At 50.9% G+C, this 15,585-nt stretch overlaps 1 protein-coding gene across 13 annotated transcripts in view; it reads right to left on the bottom strand.

The window, feature by feature from the left end:
* The window catches only part of PHACTR3 (phosphatase and actin regulator 3), a 270,203-nt gene that overhangs the window by 7,779 nt on the left and 246,839 nt on the right, over nucleotides 1–15,585 (bottom strand). For all 13 annotated transcript variants that reach the window (NM_001199505.1, XM_017027628.2, XM_017027626.3 and 10 more), the window contains one exon: nucleotides 3,373–3,428. In NM_001199505.1, the coding sequence (NP_001186434.1) occupies nucleotides 3,373–3,428 (56 nt within the window). The remainder of the gene's footprint in view (nucleotides 1–3,372; nucleotides 3,429–15,585) is intronic.

The raw sequence follows: 15,585 nt of genomic DNA, 5'->3' as shown, positions 1-15,585 counted from the left end.
TTTTCCTTAATAAGCGTACAGACTTTTTAACCAACATAAAACATGGAACACCTTCTTCAGCTCCTGGGCAGCATATGCTTGCCTGGAATTTATATGTTCAGACTATATTTCAAATCTTAACACATCTATGAACCTCGCTGACTCTCCATTGCTGAAGCGTGAACACTGTTATATGACAGTGCCTTTTAAAGGAGCCCAAGTCCCTCAGCAAAATTAGCTTTGCTTGGTAAGTTGTGACTATTAACATTCAAGCTGTGCTCGCACCTACCCTTGGAAGCCAAAAATAGACGAAAGTGCTGAGATATAGTATAAAACGTAAGCTTCCCCCTGGGATACAAGATAATGGCTGTCCTATTTCTGGTGTTCTCTGTTGCTAAATAAAGCCTTATGTCCCTGACCTGAACATAGCTCCATTCCTAGGAAAGAGATTTCAACAATCAGCACTCCTAGAAACACTGGTAGGTTTTGGTAAGGGAAATCCTGCCACTTGCAATTAACACAATTTCACATTATCTGCCTTTATGTAAAAGATGCGTTTCAAATATTTATACATTTGTGGGATTGGTTATATGAGAGTTTAATATATTGTGCTTTCCAGTAATTTTTTTTAAGTGAGTCATCTTGGATTAGGGTGTTTTAGAAAAGGTAATGAAATCCTCTTTCTGCTTAATTCTTTATACAAGTGAGAAACCAGAAGAAACCATACTTTTAAGGTATCATCAGAAAGCTGATACAATTAGAGAGACATTGTGAAAGTGTCCAGACAAGGCAAGCCATGAGGGATTTACGTGACGTAAAATGTTTCAGATTTCTTTAAAATAGGCCATGGGCAGCTCCCAAGTGCAGCTTCCATGTGAAAAGATTGAAACAAAGTCAGATCTTTTTTTTTTTTTTAATCCTGAAAAATGCCATAATTACTACGAAGGTCACCAGCAGGGTCTTTGGAGAACTGATCTTTGAAAGTTCCTGTCAGAGTGCTGCTTTGTGCCAGGCGCTCTGTTGGAGACCTCCTCCAAGAAGTCCTCCCTGTTAGCCTAAGCCCACAGACCTCCCCTTCTGAGCTCCCCTTAGTGATATGTTTATGGATTTCTTATTTCCAGACCCAGAACACCCTCTGCATTATACAAAGCAAGGGACCCATAATCAGGACTGCTATACTCATATTTTCTGGAAATAGCTCCAGCAGCTTGGACAGTTATACCTGAGACTTCCATGAATATCCAGAAATGTATTACTGCTTCTGATGCAGTAGTTAAGAAGATGGGCAATGGAGTTAGGCAGACCTGGGGTTGAACTCTAGTGCTATCCTTTTCCCAATATTCATTTATTAAAAAGTGCAAACCTCACAAATATGTTGCAATGATTAAATGAGGGAATATATACCAAGTACTGAATATAGTCCCTGGCACAGATTGGGCCTAATAAAGAATTACCATCACCATATAAAGGGACCCCTGCTCTTCTGCTTTTCTATCCACGTTATAGTGTTATATGGGCGGAGTTTTGAGTGCTCCTCAGATATGACTGCAGTTAGTCATGAGTTCCCCCTTGAAGCAAATACAAAAGTGATATTCTAAGAATTGGTTACAAGAAGAAAATACAATACAGTATGAGTGCTTGAAGTCCTGTGTATCTAGAGCCTATGAGTATGATGTTTCATACTAGGCTATATATAGTTACCCTATTCTCATCTCCACAGAACAAAAGTAAAACCAAACACCCACCACAAACCTAGCAGTAAAATTCTCAGGTCCTTCCACTCAGGACACTAGAGAGGGCTTCCGAGCTAAGGACAAACCTACATTCACTGATGAAGGCACAGTGTTTATGGCGGGATTGCCATGGCCACCGCAGAGGAAACCCATTTTCCCTTTCATGCACTGAAGGTAAGGGCAGTCAGTTTCAGTTATGCATTTGCTAGCTCCCTATTCACCAAAGATAGTTCTATTTCTAAGGCTCTGATATTTATTTCCAAAGATTAACACAATTAGAAGTACTTGCTGATGGGAAGACCTGGTTGCCCACGATAGGAAGGAAGAGGCTGCTACTGAAAGAAGACATGGTTCCTGGGTTAAAGGTCTGGGCTGTAGTACTCTCTTCCTGTTGCTGACAGCAGGCTACTTGGAATGTGGTGCTTCCTGTGTCTTGAACTTGCCTGGTTCAAGTCTGGACTGCTACTTTTAGTAGCATCTGCAACTTACAAGCTTTATAAATAAGTGACTTAATTTTTAAAAATTCAAATATTTGGCAACTGAAACAGCTTGACTTTTCTGTCTGCCTACTTAATTAAGCATGTTATCAATGAAGAGCTTTTCTTTAAATCCTCAGAGATGGTATAGTTAACATAGAACAGTAGTCACTATATCTTAAGTTTAAAAAGTAAAATGAAGAAGTCTTTATCTGAGGGTTATTTTCAACAATCTATAAAGGAGGGGATTGTTTTAGGCAGTTAATGAAGGCACTGAGGCAAAGAAAGGAGGGAGGAATCAATTCAAGTTCAGTACCCAGACCAACAAGGGGCTCTGCGGTATTTTCTGACAGAAAGTCAGCTTGGTACCATTATAACTTCATAAAAAGATGTTCACAAATAAGAAAACAAACTCAGAGAAAGTCTGCAGTATTCATCACATAAAGAGAAAAAAAGTCCTTTAAAAATCCAAGCCATTAGAAGACACTTTCTGTGGAAAATGTTTTAAAAACTGAAAATGACTAGATAAAGAACTATTGGAGAAACACTTTTTCAAGAGGTTTGGCCACCCCTAAATCACTGACTTTATGGAATATTTAATGGAATATAGTGCCCTAGAGCATGGAGGTTACTCATGAACACCTATGCTCAGCATATGCTATAATTGTCCACCTAACGGGAAATGCAAGGGGTTGCAAGGCTGGGAGCAACAGAGGGTCCTGGAACCTCAAAGTCCTGAGCCACAGGAAAGCTTCTCATGGCTTCACCGTTTCCCTGAGCTGACTGCTTTATTCCTCCCAAGTGTAACAGGCAAGGGGCGTGTCCTTCTCTAGTGTGTTCATGCGGTTCATGCTTTGTGATTTCTATAGCCATGAAGAACCCCGACCCAAACTGCCAGGAAGACCTGCTTGAAACCTAACGCACTTAGACATATGGGACTAACCCTGAAAATAAAAACATCTTTATGCTAAGAGGAAAGGAGTTTTTTTAAATTAAAAAAAATGTTTCTAGGTATATCAGCTTTCCTTTGGGGCTTGCTTTCAGAATTCAGCAGCAGCTCAGGTTTACTGGGAGCATGGAGCATTCCGCTTGCAGAGAAGGGCTGGGTTATGGGAACTCAGGATTTGTGCAACAGCCTCACCACACGTGAAGGAAAACCTCTAGAGGAATCACCAGCTACTCACGTTTCAAGATATTTCTTCTCTCCAGCTCTTCCACGGCAGGTCTTTGGCTCAGCCGTCTGCGGAAAAACACTAAAATTACATTTTGCACCATAGTGGCTGCCTGCAAATTCCACCTGGGGTCTGCAAGGATGAGAGGTGGCTGGCAAACCCCTATAGATCGCCTCCCAAAATTGGAAGGAGAGAAAGTGAACCTTTGGTTGTTGCCTCTTGCTGGCAAAATCAAGTCAGACTTCCAGGTGACAGTCAAAGCTCTCCCGTCACAGAGCTAATACTAGACTAGTCCTTGCTCCAGCTCCACATGTGCAGGTCTTCATTTTTCTGATCTGTCGCCCAAACCTTGCCTGGTCTGGACTGTTCACCGGAGCAGTGTGTTTAAGCAGCGAGGAGATCTGTTCAGGAAATTCTTTTTCCTGCCCATTGGCTTAGGGAGGGGTGGGTAGCACCACCTGTTTTCAGGCTTCTGGATCCAGAGATGCTGGGAGATTCATGCTTCCCAGCACTGCCTCCGTTGTCAGCACGGGAGACACCAGCCTTGGGAGCACTGATCTCTCCTTCCGGCTTTCTGCCTGCTGAACTGCTGAGTAGAGCCGCCTGTGCCCAGCCCAGCACAGGGGGAGTGTCTAAAGACGTCTAAGGGGCCTCCCGCCTCTTGTCAGCAAGCATGCAGCCCAGCTCGAGCGCTGAATAAAAACTGGGAATCTCTTCCAGCCAGCGCAGCTAACAGAGCTGAGCCCACCCACACGCATTCCCCTCCCACCATCAGCCCAGACGGAGTGTGCGATATGAAGACAAATTATTATTTCTTTTTCAAGTGGTCTCTCATTGAGGAAGTTGGAGGATGCAGCCAACAGTCACCACCAAAAAACATAAAGGGCTTGTCAGGAGAAGGAGGCATCATCATCCAAAATTAATGCCAAGCTCTGATTATTTTTATGACTACAATAATATTGTCCTTGGGCCAGAGCCAGAAACCTTCCCACTTCCAGATCCTCTAACCACAGCAGGGAGACAACAGGGCCCAGTATTTGAATGCCTAGAATTTAGGGCCATAATATTTTGCCCCAGTGAGGATGTTGCCTCCATTTAAAAATTATTTATCTCCTATTTATAATCCTTGTCCCAGCAGAAAGCCTAGGGCATTGCGGGGCTCAGCCACTCCTCCCTCCCCACTAGAACACAACCCTTTGTGGTTCTGCTCCCCTGGGGGCTTTGTCTTCTGGCTCTGTGGGTGGTTGCTTCCACATCATATCTCGATGTTCAGTGAGACTTGAACCTCCCCCCCTGACAATTCCTGGCTGGAATCCTCCCCAGTCCCAAACAATGTATGCAAAGCCTAGCTCACTTAAGTGTTGCTTTTGCAGTCTAGTCAAAACACCCCAAAGGCCACTCATTCAAGCACTCAGGAGATGACTATGACATATTTGCTATGTGCCAGGCACTGTTCCAAGCCCCCAGAACAGAGTGCTGAGTATGGGAAGTCTTCCCTGCCCTTGGGAAGCTCATAGTCTAGAGCAAGCTTGTCTAACCCGTGGCCTGCAGGCTGCATGCAGCTCAGGACAGCTTTGAAGGAGGCCCAACACAAATTCATAAACTTTCTGAAAACACAAATTATGAGGGTTTTTTTGCAATTATTTTTAGCTAATCACCTATCGTTAGTGTATTTTATGTATGCGGCTCAAGACAATTCTTCCAGTGTGGCCCAGGGAAGCTGAAAGATTGGATGCCCCTGGTCTAGAGGTAAAGGCAGACAAATGAACAAAATCATCTGAGAGAGTGGTCAATGCCGTGGAGGAAATGGCGGATATGGTGGGTGAGTGGTTGGGCAGGGGCAGATACATTCAGAATCTGGCAGAGATACATTTCGCTGAGACCCAAATGAAGAGAAGAAACCAGTGTGGGAAGACCATAGCGTCTCTTAACTGTTCACACACTGGGCTTAAACACTGAGGGAGTGAGGATGGGGGTGGGTAATCAAGGCAGGCTTCATGGAAGAGGAAACTTCTGAGAGAGTTACACAGAATCCACTTGGTACAGCAGTGTCTGCAAGGGTCTTGGAGAAGGAATTAGGTAAAGGAAGAGAAATCATCAGGAAATTGGAGTTGTCTGGGGTCTCCCCTTAGAGCTGGGCACCCAGCATTAGCTCGCTTCTGAATGTATCTGAGTCTCTGTAAACAGGGAATGGTAAGAGAACCCAACAGCCTCTGTGTGTGAATAATGGTGGGGCAGACCACCATAGGAAAAGCAGGAACAAGCCAGATTCCTGGCCCCCATGCTGCCCACAGAAGGGCTCGGAAGCAGGAAGGAGATGGGATGGAGGGGGAAGGCACACAGGCACTTTTAGAGCAATAGAAATGAAAAATCCCTGAAGCCCAGCAAGAGTGAGCGCACCATGAGTCTTTTACCCATGAAAAGGTACTTCCTTTGCACAGCTCCTCTGGCTAAGAGGGAGAGGCTGTGTATAGGAATGGGATCTTGGGAAGTAAAACGTGGAGTCCTAATAAGTAAGCAACAATGAGGAAGGGGTCCTAGGTGGGGGAGAAGAATTGTTCTGAGAGCCAGCTAATCACAGACAACCCACTGGCATGACATCCTATTTCCAAACACCTTGTTCCACTCGAAGACCCAGCAGTACTATCTTATCTGCACATAAGCCCCTCTGGCACAACCCTATAAAACTTCCCTCCAGCGCCTGCCTCTTTCCAGCAGCCCCTTCTCTACTGTGCTGCCCATTGCACCCTTGCAACGGATCTTCATACTTTCTCTAATAAATTTGCCTTTCTTTACCTATAACTGCCTTGGTAAACTCTTTCACTGTCCGCGATGCTGGCCCCAGCCATTTGTATTTTGTGTGTGGCTCAAGACAATTCTTGAGCCAGCTGCCCAGCCAGGAACACCCATAGGGACACCTGAGGAGTGAGGCTGTGCATTTCCTCAAATCTGAGAAGTACCCCAAATGTCCCTGGAGGCTAGTGTCCACTGGCATGGCCCCCGAACAAGGCTTCCCCCCGCCCTTTGTTGGAACCTTGTCTTTCTCATCCAAAATGAGAATTAGTACCAGACCCTCTTAATGAGCATTAAATGAGATAATGCACAAAAATGTTTGTGACAATGCATGCTTGGGATATAGTAATTTCTCAAGAAAACCCAACCTGTGACTTGCCAGCTGATCGCGGACCATGTTCCCAGAAAAGCATTTCATCCAACTGGTACACCTCAGGAAAGCGTGGACATCAAGCCAGCAAAAACTGTGCAATTGGTCCCAAGGCACAGAGGCAGTCTGGTAGTGGTCCAATCGCTCACTGCAGGGCTTCATCTAGCTGCCAAGCTTCTCACTGAATGTCAACAGGGTACCCCTGAATGGTCTAGAATATGCAGTCCTCTGGGTAGACACAGCCCCGGAGGCACAGGGTTGTAAACAGAGCAAAAGGGTGCTCAGGCCAGGACCCCACTGGCTTGTCACCAACCTGCCTCTCTACTTACAGAGTGCCAGGACCCCACACCTGGAAGGGTGGATGCAGAACCCTAGACAGTGCTGTGGGCCCCAAGACCCTCCCTGTGGTTCTCACCAGTGGAGGGGATTGAGGTGAGCAAGAAGACCCCTGACTGCCAGGTGAGGGTGCTAAGCAGGGTCTTAGGGTGGTTCTGCCAACCCAACAAGGCCAGGCCACCGTTCAGACTAGGCTCTAATCTGCACATGAATGGCTTCCCAGAAGGTGACACTTTAGTTGGGATCCAGAGGATGATTGGGGATCGCTAGGTGAGGAGAGGACATGTGCAAAGGTCCTGAGGTGGGGTCGTTTAGATCGCATGGAGGTGTGTGTGCACCGAGGCTGAGCAGGGGCAGGACCCACACAGCCTGGCATCGCTGGAGAGAGAGTCTGGATTCACTCCTGGAACCCCAGAGCGGCACTGAAGGATTTAAAGCAGACCTGGGTGAGATGGGGTGTGGGCGTGCCAGGACTAGATTTGCATTTGCAAACACTCTCCGGACTCTTCCAGATTTCTGTCCAACAGAGATGGAGATGAACCCACTACCAAGAGATACGGACCTGCCCAGACCCCCACCAGATACCAAGGACAAAGTGTGCTGCAGGCCTGTGAGGGCCCCCTGAAGTGTTCAAGACTTGGGGAAGAAGTTGGCCACAGAGCAAAAACACCCCACACTCCAAATTAATACTTGTTACCCTAAGTATACATAAAAGATACCCTTTTGTCCACCTGCTACCTGAAGCTATGCTAACTCTTCATGCAGAGTTGGGGCTTCCAAAAGGAAAAATGGTGACGAGCCTGATGCCAAGGACAGACAATTACTTTGCCAACATTACAGGCGAGACCCTTGAGGCTCAGAGAGAGGAATGTGATCAGCAGCTACTACAGCTGGAATCAGAACCCACAGCCAGTTCCAGATGCTGGGAGGGCTGAGGCAGGGAGGAACACCGGCAACACCAGCTGGCAGGAACTAGCCAGCAGGGACACAGCTGGGATGAGGCCCAGGAAGCATTCTCCCAGCACAGAGAGTCAGGCCCAGGCAGAGGCATGCATCACAGGCCACCACCCCTGCCCCACAGTGTGCTGACCCCTGCCCTGACACACAGTCGCCACTCAGGCCAGGGTGGCCCAGGAAATTTTCTAGGCAGAACCATGGCCAGGAAAAGGGCAGTCAGGTTGAACGAGTCATGAAGCTCTGTGAGAGCAGACCCCCAGAGCCGGCGCAGGCAAGGGGAGCAGCCTGTGTCGAGGAGCAAAGGAATGGGCGCCGGTTCCTCTCCCTCACTACATAGCCTGCTTGGACCTGGCTGGGGCAGGGATGCCGCCAGGGCTTCCTGGGCTTTGAGCTTCAGTATCAAGTTGCTCTCCGAGGAGCCGCTAGAGACGTGGCCGGAGCATAGCTGGGCTTTGGAAGCTGCAGAAGGCCCTGCAGAGGGGTGGGGCGGGGTAGGTGGGGGTGTAGAACCCCTGTGGGATTCCCCAAACCTCCCCACCCTCTGCAGCTGCTTGAGACTCCTGATTCAGAAATGGGGCTGCTGGTGACGTCCTGGTGCCGCCTGGAGCTGGGGAAGCCACAGTCTATTTCTGACTCTCCCCACTGAGAAAGCCTGAGTGTGGCAGTTAATTAAAGCATCGCGTGGGTGTGGGAGCAACACTAAGAAAAGAAACCCCAGGGACAGAGAGCAGCATCTGCCGGTCTCCCTACCTGGTCCCTGCTTGTGCACACACGAGAGGTGGGGATGACAGGGAGGCCGGAAGGACCAGGCTGGGCTGGGGAGCCAGGAAGAGGCTGGGCAGGCCCTGGAATGCAGACAGGAATTAAAGGTATCGAGCACAACACACCCTGGAAAAGGATGTCTGTATGTTCAAGTGTGGATGTGAGTCATTTCTGGGGGCCAAGGGGGCACCAGCCAAACAGGTGACCCCACAGGCACTTCCTGGTTCCGAGTGCCTCTCACACGACAGATCTGTAGCAGTCACCTACGACACACCTGGCCCTGTGCTGTGAGTAGCACAGAGGAGACAGGGAGCAGGGGACAAACAATGGGGAGGAAGGGGCCTAGAGGTGGAGCTGATGAGACCGCCGACAGCCTGGACAGTCAGGACGCCTGGAGAGGCTCCAGGAGTCATGATGCCACTGTGCCACCCACATTTCCAGGTCTGTGGAGGCTGTCAACTGTCTATTCCACAGTCAGCACTGGTGCCCCAGCACTGGCACAGAGCTAGGATTCCAGTTCCAGCTCTGACCCCTGCCAGCTGGGTGATGGCGTCACGCCCTCCCTTACTTGAGCCTCTGATTCCCCAGGTGAACACCTGCCAACAAAACCCACAGGGATGCTGGGAGAGTCGAGAACACTAAATACAGGAGGAGGTTGACACACAAATAGGTGGCATCATTACTACTATAGCACTGATATTATTCACCTGGCGTGCTGAGCCCAGGTCTCTTCCACCTTCAGCCAGCAGAGCTGCAGGCTCCATCCTGCCCAGCGCCTCCTTGCAGGCCTGGATCCCCAAGAATCACTCCTCCTTCAGACACTCACAGCCTCCTCCATCAGACGGATGCTCACACCCTCTTTCAACATCTGCTCATTCACACCTCCATCAGATGTTCACATCTTCCTCCATCAGATGCCCACACATTCCTCCATCAGACACTCACACCCTCTTCATCACTCATGCTCTCTCCATCAGACATTCACACCGTCTCCATCAGACACACCCTCCTCCATCAAATACTCACACCTTCTTTCATCATCTACTCACACTGTCCATCACTCACTTGCTTCCATCAGACACTCATACCCTCTTCTATCAGACACTCATACCCTCTTCCATCAGACACTCACGCCCTCTTCTATCAGACACTCATACCCTCTTCCATCAGACACGCACACCCTCTTCCACCAGACACGCACATGCTCCTGTCTGTCATAGCCTCTTTCATCAGACACCCCCTCTTCTCCCATCAGACGCCGTCTCAGTGCCAAGTTTGTACCAGTTTCTGAATCGTCCTCTGCACACACTGCTCAGCTGACTGCCTTCCTGCATGATGAGCACAGCAGCAGGGGCTGCAGGTAATTTCAGGAAGTGGAAGGACACGGGGTCAGGAGAAGCATAGTTCCAGCTCCCCAAGCTTTGCTTCCCCAATGAAGCCCCACCCAGCCAGGCTGCCCCACTAAACGCACATCCCCCAAATCTTGATCTCACCCCAGCACAGATGTCACAGAAAAGGTTTGAATCAACATCTAAAGTCACCTCAGTGTGGAGCAGAAATTGAGAAGCAATTCCTTCCATACAAGGCAGAATGCCTTCCTAGAGAGAACAGACAGCTCGACACCCACAGGGGACGCCCGGGCTATTTTGGGAGGCTCCTTTCTGGGAATGCCAATCCTGCCCCACAGCCGCCTTGAGTCACTGAGAAAAGCTGGCGGCCCCCGCCTGGAGATGGGATTCCCCAGCGAGGCAGCGTCTCCACACACCATTCACACGACGCATTGATGCATCCTCAGACATCTGATGGTGAATGGGGCAGATGTCTCGTCTGCTTGCCCCCAGGCGCACACCATCTGGGTGCACGGATGACAGGCACATTGACCCTATGTCTCAGAGCGTCAGAGCAATGTGGGTGTGTCTGGAGAGAAGTTCAGGAAGAGAAGAGGACTCTCCAGGCCATAAGATGAGGCCTGGATGATGAAAGAAACCGCCCAGGGAAAGACCTGGGATGGGCATCCAGGCAGAGGGGATGGAGTGTGTCCACACTAGGAAACAGCAAGCAGGGATGTTCTGCCGACTGAGGGCTCAGCTGAGAGGTGCTGGCTGCTGGTCCACATGCCTGGGGCAAGCCCCATCTCAGCAGCCAGCAGTCCTGACTTCTGGGATGCCGGGGAGGATGTGACTCCAGGCACTCTGAGTCCAAAGCCGACCTTTTCACACCCTGTTCCCCACCTCCTCACACCTGCTCCGTGCCCAGCATCCTGGGCTCAGGGGCTGGCTCCAGCCACCACCCAGGCACACACCAGACCCCTGGGAGAACTGGCTCCTCTTACTCCCTACGTCCAACACCCCAGGAAGCTCCAAGTCTGCTGGGTTCTGCTTGCATCCATCCATCCGTCCATCCATCCATCTGCCTCTCTCCATCCCCAAGGCCACTTCCCTGATCCAGGCCACAAGCCTCAGCCCTGGATGATGGAGACTTCCACACTGTCCACCTCCCTGCCCACAGCAGCATAACTCTAACTCCTACTCCCACGATGAGCTCAAGCCCGGGTTCCCACCATCCTCAGGACAAACTCCAAGGCCCTCAGCAAAGCCTTTCAGTTTACGGTGACCCCTCCAGCAGCCCCTCCTACTCCCACCCCTCCCAAAACTCCATGCCGGGTGATGGCCCCACGTCGAGCTGCATTTACCAATAAGTGGCTGTTCACACTGTCCCTGTCCGGCAAAGATGTCCTTCTCCTCACACGGGTCCGCAGCCCCACTGTACCCCACACACCCCCATTATTACAATTGTTCTGTCTTGTCCCTTTTCCTCCAAATCCCTGACACGCATAACCAAAAAAACAACATAACACCCTATCTGCAATATAAAGGAGGAAAAAGGAAATTAAGTTTTAATCAAATAACACATATTCCGATAGGTAAGTAAGTGCCAGGCATGGCTGGATTGGGTGACACAGCACACAATGCCAATGCTGCCGCTACAGAAAAATCACCATCACAGTGCCAGCCACCAATGCAGACAGACCCACAGCTGCCACACTGGTCACTCCATGCCCTGAGAGACACTAGTGGAGGAATGCTTCTTGGTGAAGCTCTGGACAAAGCAAGGTTCCCTCCCCAATCTGTGGGAGAGGTTTCTGGCATTTTGCATTCCAGGAGACGCCACCTGTAATACAGCTCCACCAAAATACCTCCTGTGTGTGTCCACAATGCACTTGGGATGAGGCTCAGGTCATCATAAACAGGCTTCGGACTCTCATGAGTGTCCCAGGGACATTCAGAAGTCAAGTGGAATGGGGGGCCAGTCTTCATTGCTAAGGGAGTGCCCCATGGCTGCAGAACACCTGCCTCCCGGGACCATCCTGAAAATACAGCAGGAGCTCCAGTTGCTGTGACAATCCACAGAGCTGCCCTGAGTTTCCAAAAGGCAACAGAACGGCTGGCCTGCCTCCTGTGTCCTGAGGGCATAGGAGGCAGGGCAACTTCAACTCCACCAGGAAGCCCCGCCAAGCTTGGTGCAGTGGGGGGCTTCTGATGTCGGGAAGGTGTCCCATGCCTCTTGTGCCCACAGTGACAAGCCTTCAGGCCAAAGGCTCCTGCCTACTCTGTCCTCCCAACCCCACCCTGCAGGAGAAATATGTCCCCTGGAGCCTGGGCTCCCTCCCAGGGCAGCACAGAAAAGAACTCCAGGTACGTGGAGTTGGCCTCCCAGACTCTCCAGTGTCTCTTGTCCTCCACCTCCTGGGTGCAGCCAGTCTCCTCTCTGCACCTCCATGGTCTCACCTGGTGAGACTGAAAGGAGAGAGCCGTATGTGAGGGGGCTAGCCAGGCCGCTGTGCCCTGGGCTCCGCAAGCTGCACACCGCACTGTCTCCATCACTGTTGCTATTTCTGTTTTGTCAGCCTGGCTCTGTGGCCCACCCTAAGCCAAAAAGGGACTCTAGACTGCCCTGCCCAGGGTTGGGTTAGTGCCCCTGGGATACAGATGAGATGAGTCCTTCACCCTCTGCACCAGGAACAGCCCCAGTGGTGGTGGGGAGGGGTCTCGCCTCCAATCAGCCTCCTGGAGCCGGGTGTTCCAAGGGCTCAGGTGAGGCACCAAGATCACGTGCACCCCCGCCCATGAAGGCCAGCTGGTCACCAGCACCAGTCTCTCCGGATGGTTCCCGGGCTGCCCTGAGAGGCTTCCCCAACCCCACCGTGAACATGCCCCTTCTACCTCCTCTTCCAGGTGCTAAAGACAGCAACATGGACACCAAGGGACATCCAGGTCACCTTCCATCTGGGGACTCTCAGAGGTACTGAGGAATCACCTGGTGCCTGAGAACTATGGGAGGGAAGGAGGGAGGGAAGGAGAGAAGGGAGGGGAGCAGGGAGAGGGAAGGATTCAAATCCTCCGGAGGAAAACCAGGCCCTTGACTTTCAGGACCAAACTCGCATCTACCTGTAGAGAGGCACTTTCTGTTCTCACAGTCAAGGTAACGCAGAGAATGTCATTCACAGTGACACCCAGCCCTGCCAATGCTACTTTTGAAAGGAGGAAAGTGGAGTGAGGAAGAAAGGCCAAGAACATGTGTGCAAAGAGGAGGGAGAGACGCACCCTGCAGGGAAGGACGTGAGAGAGGGAAGCAGAGACAGCAGGCGTAACAGGCAGGGCCAGGACTGTGTGTGCAGAGCAGGCATGAGAGACAGGGCAGGGACAGAGTGTGTGGGAGAGTGGGTATGAGAGGCAGAGTGAGGACAGTGTGTACAGAGAGAGCAGGTGTGAGAGGCAGGGCCAGGAGGGTGTGTGCAGAGACAGCAGGTGTGAGAGGCAGGGTGAGGACAGCATGTGCCCTGTAATGCCAGGTGTAAGGCTGGGGCAGGGGAGCGCACTGGAAGGAATGTGCCCCACACCCCACTGGGCCCCACCACCCTGCCTGGCCTCCTTGGGTCCCAGCCAAGGGTGAGCCAAGCCCAGGTTGAGTCAGCTGGGAAGAACCAAGATGCTGGCCCCACATTGGCCCAGACCAGGGACACTCAGCGAAGATCTGTGCTCAGCCACCAGGACCCAGAGGCCCGAGCCTGTGGCAGGGAATTCCTGGAGGGAGACAACCTGCTGAGGAGCAGAGCTCCAGCCTCCTCGAAGCCCCTGAGCACCCCTCCCCTCCCCCACCCCACTGATCTCCCTCCTCCCCATACCTTGTCCTCCTTTGGTCATGCTGACCTGCTGAGCTGCCCTTGCCCAGCGCGGCTGCTACAACACAGTCCCCTAAGCTCAGTGTCTTATAAACAACAAAAATCCATTTCTCCCTGTTCTGGAGTCTGGGAAGTCCAAGGTTGAGGTGCCAGCAGATTCGGCATCCGGGGAGGACCCACTTTCCCAGAGACAGCATCTTCTCACTGTGTCCTCACATGGTGGAGGGAGCAATGCAGCCCTCAGGGGTCCCTTTTTTGAGGGCGCTAATCCCGCTCAAGAGCACTGCACCCTCATGACCTAATCACCTCCCAAAGGCCCCATGTACAACCACCATCATACTGGGGGTGACACATGAATTTGGGGAGGACACAAACATTCAGACCACAGCACATGCCAAGCTGATTCCCACCCAGCGCCTCTGCCTGGGCCCTTCCCTCTGCTGAGAAAGTTGTTACCCAGATCTCCCCATGGTTCAGCTTAAACCTCTTCTTCCAGAAAGCCCACCCCGACTCCTCCAGCTGAAGTAACTGGCTCCTTTCTGCACAGGTTGCTCCCCAGTGCATTTGTGTATTTTGTGGCCTTCATGGCCAGAATTGATTATTTATGTTTTGAGTACCTCAATGGTAAGAACTGCATCAGTAGTACCCAATGCTGTGTACTCAGGGCCCTGGAACCAAGCCTGGTCCGTGATAAGTGACCAATGAATGAGTGACTGAATGAATGAATGAGTGAATGAGTGAATGAACGAGTGAATGAATGAACAAGTGACTGAATGAATGAATGAGTGTCTGAATGCATGAGTGGATACATGAATGGGACATCAAGGCAACGCCAGGTTTACATTGAGAAACTTGAGCCCAAAGGCTGGTTTTGACAGCAACAAGGCAACCTTGGGCAAGCCACCCTCCAAGCCTGTGAAAGAGACACCACAGTCCCACGCTTGCACAGCTGCCACCAGAGTACAAAAGGCAGTATGTGTGCCAACCCAGGACAAGGCACCAAGCTGGCCAGTTAGGGACTCAGGACCCCTCCAAGGGCAGAGACTTTGTCTACCTGGTCACTGCTGAATCCCCAGCCCCTGCACAGCCTCTCAAGCTGGCACAGCAAAATGAACAGAGAAGCCACTGGCAATACAGGGGCCCCGCTGCAGGGGGCATGGTTCTGGGCTTGTGGGACACAGCTCTGCCTTACTAGTAGAACTGGGCTGCTGTTGTGGGGCAAGTCCAAAGTTCATCGTCATTCACAGACCTCCATGGAAATAACAACCACATGGAGTGTGTGGTTGTGCCAAACAGCACGTCACTGTGCCACCTCCAGATCAGCAGAGGGCAGAAAGTTGGAAAATCCACAATGTTGACAGGAGTGTAGACAGAGCCCCTCCCCCCGCCCCCCCACTGGTGGGGCTGTCAATCAGGGGCATTCCCTGGTGGTCAATGCTCAGGTCAAAAATGACAGATGCATATATTCTCTAACCTGCCAGTTCCAGTTCCAAGATTTCTGATGTGTGTGAACATCCTTCCACATGGGCCTCTTACAGACACACGTATGAGGATGTTCATTATAGCCAAGCACAGGGCAGAGCCTTAATGCCCATTGGGCCTAAAGGACCTGTGTTCAACCCTGCAGTGGAATTCAATGCCATTACAGAAAGGAACCGGGTGCTGCTCCATTAGCCCTTATGTGGAAGGCTCTCCCAGCCAGACTCTGGGGAAGATAAAAGGGAATAAACGTGAATATAGAAACTGCAAAACCACATCATCATTAAGAGTCTAAGCTTTGAACTTGCCCTTTGCTTGAATAGTGGCTTCTCTACAAATCACCTGA

Source organism: Homo sapiens, chromosome 20, assembly GCF_000001405.40.
Source record: "Homo sapiens chromosome 20, GRCh38.p14 Primary Assembly".
Classification (NCBI taxonomy): domain Eukaryota; kingdom Metazoa; phylum Chordata; class Mammalia; order Primates; family Hominidae; genus Homo; species Homo sapiens.
The sequence above is the reverse complement of the archived record's forward strand: the minus strand, read 5'-3'. Positions and strand labels throughout refer to the sequence as shown.